This window comes from Homo sapiens, chromosome 1, assembly GCF_000001405.40.
Source record: "Homo sapiens chromosome 1, GRCh38.p14 Primary Assembly".
In the NCBI taxonomy this organism is placed as follows: Eukaryota; Metazoa; Chordata; class Mammalia; order Primates; family Hominidae; genus Homo; species Homo sapiens.
Window position 1 is genome coordinate 149,206,567 of NC_000001.11, and position 13,264 is coordinate 149,219,830.

General features: G+C 41.9%; 1 annotated feature.

Annotated features, from left to right (window-relative positions):
* Window positions 6,200-6,985: an enhancer, noted in NCBI's record as "H3K27ac hESC enhancer chr1:144691669-144692454 (GRCh37/hg19 assembly coordinates)". NCBI's record gives its function as "activates a minimal SCP1, AML or CMV promoter by ChIP-STARR-seq in primed H9 embryonic stem cells {active_cell/tissue: H9 hESC(primed)}" and the evidence as "EXISTENCE:reporter gene assay evidence [ECO:0000049][PMID:30033119]".

Below are 13,264 nucleotides of genomic sequence, written 5' to 3' on the forward strand. Positions count from 1 at the left end.
CGGATCACGAGGTCGGGAGATCGAGACCATCCTGCCTAACACGGTGAAACCCCGTCTCTACTAAAAATACAAAAAAAATTAGCCGAGCGTGGTGGCAGGTGCCTGTAGTTCCAGCTACTCGGAGGCTGAGGCAGGAGAATGGCGTGAACCCGGGAGGCGGAGCTTGCAGTGAGCCGAGATCGCGCCACTGCACTCCAGCCTGGGCGACAGAGTAAGACTCCGTCTCAAAAACAACAACAACAAAAACAAATAACCGGCAGCTGTGACTAATCTGAGGTCTCGCAGTGTCTCTCACCTCTTTGTGCAGTAAAAGCTTTGAAAGAGTGAACCAACAAGAGAACAAAGAAGGAATAGATGACAAGAGGCGGAAGTGGACTAACAATGATATGTTTGTTGAATGAGTGAGAAGGTAATAGATAATGCTGTGAGATTATGTGGAAAACTTTTTATCTGAAGTCTTTAAAAGACATTCTCACTTTTGGCTGGGCGCGGGGGCTCACACCTGTAATTCCAGCACTTTGGGAGGCTGAGGCGGGCGGATCACTTGAGGTCAGGAGTTCCAGACCAGCCTGGACAAACTGGTGAAACGCTGTCTCTACTAAAAATACAAAAATTAGCCAGGCGTGGTGGTGGGTGCCTGTAATCCCAGCTACTCGGGAGGCTAAGGCAGGATAATCGCTTGAACCCAGGAGGCAGAGGTTGCAGTGGGCCGAGATTGTGCCACTGTACTCCAGCCGGGGTGACAGAGCGAAACTCCATCTCGAAAAAATAAAAAATGTACTCCAGCTGGGGTGACAGAGAGAAACTCCACCTCAAAAAAATAAAAAATAAGGGCCGGGCACGGTGGCTCATGCCTGTAATCTCAGCACTTTGGGAGGCCGAGGCAGGCGGATCACAAGGTCAGGAAATGAGACCATCCTGGCTAACACGGTGAAACCCCGTCTCTACTAAAAATACAAAAAATTAGCCGGGTGTGGTGGCGGGCACCTGTAGTCCCAGCTACTCGGGAGGCTGAGGCAGGAGAATGGCGTGAACCCAGGAGTCGGAGCTTGCAATGAGCTGAGATCGCGCCACTGCACTCCAGCCCGGGTGACAGAGCGAGACTCCATCTCAAATAAGTAGATAAATAAAGACTTTCTCAGGTTTTTGTTTTGTTTTTGTTTTTTTGACAGTCTTGCTCTGTCGCCCAGGCTGGAGTACAGTGGCGCAATCTCGGCTCACTGCAAGCTCTGCCTCCTGGGTTCATGCCATTCTCCTGCCTCAGTCTCCGAGTAGCTGGGACTACAGGCGCCTGCCACCACGCCCGGATAATTTTTTTGTATTTTTTGTAGAGACAGGGTTTCACCGTGTTAGGCAGGATGGTCTCGATCTCCTGACCTCGTGATCCGCCCGCCTCGGCCTCCCAAAGTGTTGGGATTACAGGCGTGAGCCACCGCGCCTGGCTGACTTTTTCAGTTTTAAGCTAAGAATATTCTCTAATAGGTATATTATTGACCCATTGACAATAGAAGATTGAATACACTTTAGGATTCCAGCCTCCTCTTCTACTGCTCATGCTCTCCGTAAGAAGGGCTAAACATCCTACTCCTGTGCACTACATTGGAGCTCAGAAATACTGACTTAAAATCTCCAGATCTTAACACGGACTTTTAAAGGGAAGATTGAGTATGGACCCAGTATTAGATGGTATTATGGAATTATTTTTAAGCTTTTTGGGTACAATAATAGTATTGTGGTTATGTTTAAAAACAAAGCCTTCTCTGTGAGAGTTATATTCTGATATCTTCCCAAATAAAATTATATGATGTCAGAGAGTTGCTGTAAGGGGTGGAAGAGGACAAGATGGAGAACGAACAGTGCAGGGAGATCACTGAAAAGAACAGCAAAATGTTGGGAACCGTTAAAGCTGAGTGATGGGAACATGGCTCCCTGGTAAATGGGACACATACATCGGGAGGTACTATTTTCGTAGTCTTTGTTTATATTTGAAAATTTTCAAACTTACATAATGAGAAGTCAAAAGGGGCATTTTCATCCCAAAAAGGTAAATGTCCATATTCTTTTTTATTTTTTCATTTTCATTTCTGGAATTACCTAAACTCAGGTCATAGATAGCAATGAAAATTCGGCTCCCTGTGGCAGCTTCTTTCAGCCACCAGACTTACATAGACTCAGTGGTGCAGAGTCCGTTTCCCAATACTGAGGGATAAAGAAAATTAAGCCTGCCTCTAGGCACGTCTCAAACTTGGGAGACTCAGAATACAACAGAGTATGGGATACAGGGAGGAAAGAAGAGATGCAGAAATAAATTAAAAACAAGATTTGTTTAAAGAGGAACTGCAACTTCTTTAATTGGGCAGATTGAACCAATAAAAGCACAGTTCTCTCCCTTCACCTGTTATCCTTTAGTCTCTTCAACTTTCACATTGCTTCACTCACTCTCTTCCTCTCCCTTTCACCTGCTCACCTTACCCAACTTGAACTGTGCCCTCTGATCTGACACAGGATGACAATGACATCAGTCATTACCTAGCAGCCATTTTTTCTGATAACTAGAGTTCTGAGTGATGATAGTTCATGGTGAGATAATTTCCAAGACCTCGCTAGCCATTGGTGGTACTACTCTCCATTAAAGACAAGGGCATTTGCTGATTGAGAAATCAATCATACAAGTGTCCTTGGAGGCCACCAAGGCTTTGCCTGAACTGTTCTCAGCCTATGATGGTTTCTCTTTCTAAACCTGTTCTTCTAGGTTCAGCTCAAACATCCTCTCCTATAGAAACCTTTCCCCAACCTCCCAGTCAGAACTAATGATTTCTTTTCACTTCAACTGTACTTAGTTTATAATTTATATGACTATAATTTAATAACTGAGACTCTTCTGATAGTACAAACAGGTGCTATCATAATTACCTCTGGGCAACAGGCAAAAATCAAGATTGTCCTTAGTAAACCAGGATTCATACCAGGTCATCTGATGTTTAGTATAGCACTCACCCGACTCTGCCTTACATTGCTTATTTAAAATGTCTGCCTCCCCTTCTAGGTTTTATAAAAGTTCTTGGCTCACAGTAACTCTTAGTATAAGTTTCTGAAATAAACACTTTGTTATCACTTTTGAATTGATGGCTTACATTTTTGTTTTGGCATTTAACTTCACATTTGTGCATTCATGTGTATGCATTTCAACTCATCTGCAAGCTTATATCCCTCAAAGTTTGCTGCTGGGCTAAGAGCAGCCACTCAAAAAATAATAATAGGCCAGGCGCAGTGGCTCACGCCTGTAATCCCAGCGCTTTGGGAAGCTGAGGCTGGTGGATCACTTGAGGTCAGGAGTTCGAGACCAGCCTGGCCAACATGATGAAACCTCATCTCTACTAAAAATACATAAATTAGCCGGGCGTGGTGGTGGGAGCCCAGCTACTCAGGGCTCCTCAGCTACTCAGCTATTCAGCTACTCAGGAGGCTGAGGCAGGAGAATTGCTTGAACCCAGGAGGCGGAGGTTTCGGTGAGCGAAGATTGCGCCACTGCACTCCAGCCTGGGCAAGAGTGAGATTCCATCTCAAAAAAATAAATGAATAAATAAAAACAAAAAAAAATAAATAGTTTTTAAAAAATCTTGACAGCATACCAGCATACATTCATTGATAAAGTCGACAAGAAAGTATTGGAGATTAAAGATTGCCAAAACCTAAGTGCTTTTCTTGGCATCATTGTCCTTGACCTCAAGGAGTTCTCAGTGTAATCAGAGTTGTGTTAAGGTCAGTGAGTGAAGGAAATGGGTACTGCACCTTTGCAAGATAGTAGGAAGCAAGCCAGAGAAGAGCTGGCATTCCACAAAAGAGTCTTTATTTGGGACAAAAATCAATATGACCAAATCCCAAACTAATCAATTCTGTAAACTAAAGGAATTTTTAAAAAATAATTTAGCAGGAGGAAGAGTTTCAAAATCTTGTAGGGAAACCCTGATGTAACTCCTGATTATTCACCCAAAGTGAAAAGTAACTATTAGTGAATGGGTTTTATTTTAAAACCTTTCATTTTTAGAATCTTATCTCTTCTAGGAAAAGTGTAGTACATACGTATTTTTTTGTATGCAGAGTGAATTTCTTCTCCAGGCTTCTCTGACATCAATGGGGCAAGGTCATAACTCTATAAAACAGGGAGAAGCACTGAGCATTTTCAGAAAGGACTCTGTCTTGACCAAAAGACAAAGGACTGGTCGTTGCAGGATCCCCAGAAATACATTTTAGTAGCTTCCAAGTAAATTCTTTTGTAAATGGAGTTTCTCTCCATTCATAAGTTTTAGAGCAAAAATGAAGCCTTAGTGGGTCTAGATATCTGGCTAACATTAACTCCCTGTGTGACCTTAAACTGGTCGTCCCCAGAGCTTTATGCTTTTATACAATTAACTTGAATTACAGCCTCTCCTTCTTGCCCATAAGAATGATAATACCACCTGCATTACTCAACTTTTACGCTTATGTGAGACACCTAGCCACCTATCAGAAGGTATTCAAATGCAAAGCATTAAGTTTTTACACTTTAATGTGAAGTGGAAGAAAGTCTTGATTCAAATGCACAATCTCTACCTTTCTACTGATTCCACATTTGCTGTCTTTTACTAGTGCAGTTAAGTCCCAAATTAGAAACATAAGTCGCCCCAACATGTGACAAATGTCCTTTGTTGCCAGAGAAAGGACAGTGGGGCTGTGTCCTCAGCCTTAGCAACCAGAAGATTCTGCAAGACCAGGACATTCTCCTGCCAGAGCCTGCTTTAGTGTCCAGTCCTGTTCTCCAAAGAGATGGAAAAAACCAAGTGGAAAAGTTTCAGTTTATTCAATATAAGGCTCCACATTCAAATGGCAAAACTGCTCTGTTCAGGTCATATTTCAAGCCCAACCTATGTCAGTCCTTAGTAAAAGCTTCAAAGCAATACCAGTCCTTTCCCAGCCTGGTTTACCTTGATTAGACAAACACAGACACCCATGTCTGAGTAAGCACTTGGACCATGGATGAGTGCTAAGGAGATTAGGTGTTTGGATAGACACAGCTAGGGTGTGTGTATGTGTGTGTGTGTGTGTGTGTGTGTGTGTGTGTGTGTGTAGAGAGAGAGAGAGACAGAGGCAAAGACAGAGACAGTGCTCATTGGGCAGAGGACAGAGTAGCTGAGATAGTATCATTTGTTTATTCATTTGCTTTTTCATAAAATACTTAGTAAGCACCTACTTGGTATGTGCCAACACTTTAATAGGTACTAGAAAGAGCAAAACAGACAGAATCACAGTCTTCAGAGAATTTACAGCCTATGGGGTTAATTAAACCAATGATTATCATAGCATGTAACAAACAAAAGAGAACCGAGAATCAGCTGTATGGAAATGCACACAGGTGGCAGATATAAATAGCAGCAGATACACGAATCAGTGCGGGTCCATCATATAACTCCTAGCTTTAGTCTCTAAACTTAGGCTCCCACTCAACTCAACTCCTACTCTAACTCAAGATATACCATACCTTGGTTTGCTCTTTCTCTAAGCATCGCTGTTCTAGTCTTCTAAGGAGCAGGAATATAAATCTACATCTATGTGAAACTACAGCACCCCCAAGGGAAAATAAAGAATCCAGTGCTATTCTAGTAATTTTAGGGCAGTAGTACAGTACAATGCAAAGTATAGGCTTTTGAACTAAATTGGCCTGGGTTCAAATATGAGCCCTCTCACATTCTATTAGGTTGAACCATATAAAAATGGAGATATTCAATCATTTTTTTACAGTTTCACGTAGTTCATCTCTGTATTCTAGTGGTAAATCATTTTAACCTAAGTTTCATTTCCTTCTGTTGTTAGTTTTTTTAATGGTGCTAATACCCCTACCTTTCAGGGTTGTAAATGAAAAGATGTTAAAAAAAAATACCTGACATATAGTGGGTGTTCAATAAATGTTAGTTTTCCCAAAGATAGTCAGATGCATGAATCATAATAAGAGGTATTTCTGGTCAACACTAAGCTTAAGAATCCAAGAAAAGATATATCAAAATGAGACATCTTTGGGTTTGGATAGTGGGGGAGGCTGTATATACACAGGTATGTATGTAGGGGCAGGGAGTAAATGGGAAATCTCTGGCTCTTCTGCTTAACTTTGCCGTGAGCTTAAAACTGCTCTAAAAAACAAAATCTGACCAGGCCTGGTGGCTCACACTTGTAATCCTAGCACTTTGGGGGGCTGAAGCAGAAGGATCCCTCGAGCCCAGGAGTTTGAGACCAGCCCGGGCAACATAGAAAGACCCTATCTCATTTTAAAAAACTAAAAAATAAAAAATAAAATAAAAAACAAAATCCATTTTTTTAAACAAAAAGAAAAATGAGGGAAAATGAGGTGTTCTGCTTGTTTTATTTAGACTCTGAGCACAGAGTTCCCAAGATACATTCTGCTGTGGTATTCACACTGATCTCCAATTAAACCCTTCTCAGTGTGTCATGAGCTATTCATTCCCTATAGTCACTCTGTTAGAATCTTGGTCGTGTCCCAGAGGCCTCTGTTGATGTGGCCCAACTGAGCTGGCCAGTGAGAAAACATACACATAAATACCCATGATCTCAGCGATTCTCTCCCCTCCCCAGGACATTCCTTAGCAGAACCAATCTCTCTCACTCGGCTGGAGCCTCTCTGTTCACAGATAGGCCTGGCTGGGCTTAATTTAGCAAAGGGCAGGCCCCCTGCAAAAGCCAGGGGTAAGTCTGGAGCCCCTGTAATGCCCCAGGACACCTTGTGTGGAGACAGGAGCCCAGCCCTGCCGAAGGAGCTAAAGGGGATGTTCAGAATGTTTGTTTTTCTCAGCTATTTAGGAACTGGAGCTCACGGGAACCACCCTTTACTTCCTTAACTTCTCACATAAATGTTTTCTTTGGGCAGCAGCTATAGAACTGGAAACTAAGTAAAACCTTACTTTGGAATATAAAAACTATATTAATTTTTCTATAGATAAATTGTTGCATAGGAAACTTGCTAAATATTTTTAAATTATCTGTAACATCTAACATAATCTGACATTTATCCCCAAATTCAGCTTTCAATTCTGGATTGAAACATACTTTGATCTGTTCTCTAAAAAGGACAAAGCCAGTCACTGGTGTTTTGCAAAGTCTGGGACCATTTTTCCTACACAGAATCTCACACAATAAACAGACAAGATATTAGAAACTAAGTTCTAATATCTAGCAGTCACTCCTTCCCTGGAAGCCTGGCTGTGTCCTGAAGCCAGGTCCTATGATCAGGCAACTCTTCTGAAGCTCTGCTTCCACTAGAGACAGCACTTACCCTGTAGACTCTACAGATGTACCATCCAGGATGGCAGGCATGAGCCACATGTGGCTACTGAACCCTTGAGATGTGACTAGTCCAAATCGAAATGTGCTGTAAGGATTTCAGACTTAGCACGCACAGGAGTTCAAAGACTAACTACAACAAAAGAATGTGACATCTCATTAATAATTTTAAAATGTTGATTTCATGTTGAAATGATAATGTTTTAAATGTATTATTAACATTAATTTCACATATTTCTTTTTACTTTTTTTAATGTGGCCATGAGAAAAATTTAAATTACATGTATGGCTTATATTTACGTTGGACAGCACTGTTCTATAAGATGTTAGGAAAAAGATGTATTTGCTTTAAGTACTTTGCATTAAGACATAGTCTGACCTGAATCACAGTTAATCCTGTGGTCTCATAGCATCTTGGAGAGTTTTGTGGGGTGCTGGCATCCATCAACCAACAAAATACCAAAATGACTCTAGGTAATTATAAGTGAAGCAAAACCACTGGGCAGGGATGATAACAGGCACTGTACTTAACAGGAGTCAGCGTATCACAATGCTGCTCGGACTATGTTCAGACACTAAACTCTAAGTGTCATGAGGGCAGGGACTCCCTCTATCTTCTCACCATTGTAGCATTGCTAGCACAATGCCCACACACAGAAGATAATGATATATTTATCAAACAAATGGATGCTGTTCAAAATAAAAATATAGCTCTCTTGAAAAACAATTCTCCCTGCAAGAACTTCCTCTTCTTACTGTTTCTTTTCTCAATTTTTTTGCTTCCTACTTCCACCAACCCCTCTTGCAGAGACTGCTCCATTCCAGTAAAAGGTGAAGGTTCAACTGGAGACCTCCAAAGTCGGCTGGGCCTAGGGTTTGGGTAGGCAATTGCTGGAAGAGCACAGAGAGGGAAAGATTTCAGGCAGTGGTGATAAGAAAAGGCCCACCTGGGTCAGGTGTGGTGGCTCACGCCTGTAATCCCAGCACTTTGGGAGGCCGAGGTGGGCGGATCACAAGGTCAGGAGTTCGAGACCAGCTTGGTCAACATGGTGAAACCCTGTCTCTACTAAAGATACAAAAAAATTAGCCAGGTGTGGTGGTGTGTGCCTGTAATCCCAGCTACTTGGGAGGCTGAGGCAGGAGAATCGCTTGAACCCAGGAGGCAGAGGTTGTAGTGAGCTGAGATTGCACCACTGCACTCCAGCCTGGGCAACAGGGACATACTCCGTCTCAAACAAACAAACAAACAAACAAAAAAACCAGAAGAAAGCACTGGCAGTCTCTTACCGCCATATGAATCCATCTACACATCTCGGGTTACATTCTCTGTCTTTCCACTTATAACCATAGATCAACTATCCATGCTCCTATCTAAAGCCAAACCTTCCACTTATGTATTAATTAAGTCCTATTCCCCCTACCTCTCAAAGGCAACACCTAGAAGGTCTCCCCTGCTTCTCTTTATCAATATTTCACTTTCTAATGGAAAATTCTGTTGGCATACGAACATGCTATTATTCATTTATCTTTCTAGAAATCCCCTATGGACCTCATACCCTTATCAGGTATGCCCCATTCCTTTGCTCTCCTTTGAAACAAAACTCAAAGTAATTATTCATCCTCATTGACTCCAATTCTTCTCCTCACATTGTTTCTTAAGCCCACTGCAAGCAGGCTTTTGTCTTCACCACTCCACCAGAATTACTTTAATCAAGATCACTAATGACATCCATGTTGTTAAATCCAAAGGTCAATTCTTTTTTGAGACAGAGTCTTGCTCTGTTGCCCAGGCTGGAGTGCAGTGGTGCAATCTCGGCTCACTGCAACCTCCGCCTCCCGGGTTCAAGTGATTCTCTTGCCTCAGCCTCCTGAGTAGCTGGGATTACAGGCATGCGCCACCATGTCCAGCTAATTTTTGTATTTTCAGTAGAGACCGGGTTTCACCATGTTGGTCAGGCTGGTCTCAAACTCCTGACCTCAAGTGATTGGCCCACCTTGGCCTCCCAAAGTGCTGGGATTACAGGCGTGAGCCACCACGTCTGGCGGGCCAAAGGTCAATTCTTAATTATCGTATTACTCAAGCTCTCAGCAGGATTTCAAAAGGTGGATCCTGTCCTCTTCACTACACACATTCTTCATTTGGCTTCCGGGACTCCAGACTTTTTCTCCTACTTCACTGGTTTGTACCTTCTCTATCTTCCTTTTCTGATTCTTCCTCTTTTCTCCAAATTACTAATGTTGGAGCTATACAGGACCAGTCTCTGGTCCTTTTCTCTTCCACCTGGAAAGGTCTAACTCCAACTCCTTTGGTCATCTCCTATGGTTTCATGGCTTTAAATATTTAAATTTAATATTTAATGATCTATTTGCTGATAACTCCCAAATTTATGTCTCTAGCCCTACTCTATTTCCTGAACTTTAGACTTACGTATTCAACTGCTTACTTAATACTGCCACATAAAATGTCTAGCAAATAGCTTACACACCAAATTTCCAAAACTGAACCCCTACTCTCCACCTTCAAATCTGCTCCATCCGTAGCCTTCCCTATCTCAGTTATGGCAACTCCATCCTTCCAGTTGCTTACTCCAAAAACCCTGGAATTTTCCTTGATTCCTTTATTTCTCTCCCATTCTGTATCCAATCCATTGGCAAAATCCTTTTAGATTTGCTACCTTCACCACTTGTTCCCACATGCATCACTATTACCTAAGTCTGATCACTATCAGCCCCTACATACATTACTGCAGTGTCTTCCTAAGAGTCCTCCTGGTGTCTACTTTTGTTCTACAGCCTATTTGCAATACCAATACTGTAACCAGATTTATCATTTCAACAAGTCAGACAGGACTGGCATTTGTTAGACCCCTCCTCTGCTCAAAACCCTTCAATAGGTTCCCATGTCACTCTGAGTAAAAGCTGAAGTCTTTAAAATCATCTACAGGGACTTACTACACAAGCCCCATACCCTCTGGGGCCTCATCTTCCAGCATGCTTAATCTTGATTATGCTGCATCAGCCACAGTGGCTTTCCTGATGTTTCTCTGCCTGGAATATTCTTCCCCCAGTTCTCTGTTTGGCCAACTTCGTCATCTCCTTCAAGTTGCTATTTGAAAATTATTTTCTATGGCATAGCCACTTTGAAAAATAGTTAGACAGTATCTATTCAGAAAATAGGCAGAAATACCGACTGGGCATCCCTAATCTAAAAATTCAAAATCCAGCATGTTCCAAAATCCAAAACTTTTTGAGGACCAACATGATACCTCAGGTGGAAAGCTCCATACCTGACCTCATGAAAGGTTGCAGCAAAAATGCAGGCACAACACCCAGTTTATTCAGCATCCCCAAGAGAAAAACATAATTACCTTCAGGCTATGTGTACAAGGTGTATATGAAACATAAATAAATTTCATGTTTAGACTTGGGTCCCATCCCCAAGATATCTCATTATGTATATGCAAATATTTCAAAATCTGAACACATCTGAAAATCTTCTGGTTCAAGCATTTCGGATAAGAGATATTTAATCTATATATACTTATTATATAACCTAACAGTTCCACTACTGGGCATTTACCCAAAAGAAATAAAACAAAGACTTGTTACATGAATATTCATAGCAGCTTAATCCATAATAGCCTGTTACTGAACACAACTCATACATTCATCAACAAATGAATGAATAAACAAATTGTATTATATTCATACAATGGAATACTACTCAGCAATAAAAATGAATGTACTACTGATACAAATAGCATGGATGAAACTCAAAATCATTATTCTAAGAGCCAGATACTATAGTCTGTATTTTATGATTCACTTTCAATGAAATTCTACAATAGACAGAACTATCTATCAACAGAAAGCAGATCAGTGGTTTTCTGCAGCCAGAGGTATGAAAGGTTTGAAACACGTGGCACCAGTAGGACATATGGAAACTTTTTTGGTGTGATGGAAGTATTTTTTTATCTTGATTGTGTGGTGTTTGTTATACAGTGGTATACATTTGTTAAAATTTATCTAACTGCATACTTAATAAAGTTTATTTAAACAAAACATGAAAGGAAAAACTAAAATCACATAGCAAGTGGCAATGCAAACTGCCACGTGCAAAGAATGAGTAAAGAGCTTGGTTGGCATGGAGACTACCAGTCTAGGATGCTTTCATTGCCTCAGGTCAGCTTGGAAGGCCATAAATGCTGTGAAGGTAAACCTAGAAACAAATCTTCCTGCACTGGTAACTGTCATGTTTATTTGCTTCCCTTTCCATCCCATCCTTTCAAAAAAAAAAAGTAAAAGGTAGTGTGGTCCACAAACTACAGTGTGGCTCCCCATGATCCCCGCCTCTTGGTGTTTGTGCCCTTGTGTAACTCCTTCTCTTTGGGTATGAGCAGGCCCTGCGACTTACTTCTAACCAATAGAATATGGCAAAGGTGAAGGAATGTCACTCCTGTGATTATATTAAATTTCAAGGCTCTCTTGCTTGCAGATTTGCTGTAGAGCCTCTCCTTGCTGACTTGAAGTGGCCATATGGGGAAAGCTCACATGGCAAGGAACACTAGGTGACTTCAAGGAACCCTGGACAGACTCTAGCCAACCTCTGGCAAGAAGTCAAGGCCCTCAGTCCTACTGCTACAAAGAAATGGATTCTGTTGACAGCCCAAGTGAGCTCTGAGTCAGATTCCTCAGTCAAGCCTCTAGAGGAGAATGCAGCCTGGCCAATACCTTGGCTGTAGCCTAGGGAGACCCTAAGCAGACAACCCAGCTAAGCGGTGCCTGGATTCCTGACCCACACACACTGTGAGATAATAAATGTGTTGGGGGGTGAAGGAGGGATGGGGGTAGGGGTGGCTGTGCATTTGGGTATGGAAGGGTGTTTTAAATCGCTTTCTAAACACGGCCTCTCCTGGCCACTCCTTAATACTGCAACCTGCTCTCCACTCCTGTAATTTTTTTTCAACATTTGTTTTAGGTTCAGGGGGTACATGTGCAGGTTTGTTACATGGGTAACTTGCATGTTGCGGAGGTTTGGTGTATGAATGAACCCATCACGCAGGTAGTAAGTATAGTACCCAATAGTTAGCTTTTCAACCCTCGCCCCCCTTCTACCTTCCACTGGGGTAGGCCCCAGTGCTTATTGTTCCCATCTTTGTGTCCATGTCTCAAAGTTTTGCTCTCACTTATAAGTGAGAACATGCAGTATTTGGTTTTCTGTGCCTGTGTTAATTAGCTTAGGATAATGGCCTCCAGCTGCATCTCTTTTGCTGCAGAAGACATGATTTCATTCTTTTAATGGATGCATAGTATTCCGTGCTTTATATGTACCGTATTTTTCCTCCCCAGTCTACTGTTGATGTGTATCTAGGTTGATTCCATGCCTTTGCTATTGTGGATAGTGCTGCAGTGAACATGTAAGTGCATGTGTCTTTTTGGTAGAACAATTTATTTTCCTTTGGGTATATATCCAGTAATGGGATTGCTGGGTCAAATGGTAGTTCTCTTTTAAATTCTTTGAGAAATCACCAAACTGCTTTCCGCAGTGACTGAACTAATTTACATTCTCACCAACAGCGTATAAGCACTTTTCTCTACAACCTTGCCAACACCTTATTTTTTGTTTTTCACAGTAGGCATTCTGACTGGTGTGCAATGGTGTCTCATTGTGGTTTTGACTTGCATTTCTCTAATGATCAGTGATATTGAGCATGAGAATTTTTTCAAATATTTGTTGGCCCCATGTATGTCTTCCGTTCATGTCCTTTGCCCATTTTTTAGTTGGGACAAGGTCTCGATCTGTTGCCCAGGAGTGCAGTCTGATCACTGGAGTTCAGTGATGCAAACACAGCTCACTGCAGCCTTGACCTCCTAGGCTCTAGCAATCCTTCCACCACTGCCTCCCAAAGTGCTGGAGTTTCAGATTTGAGCCACC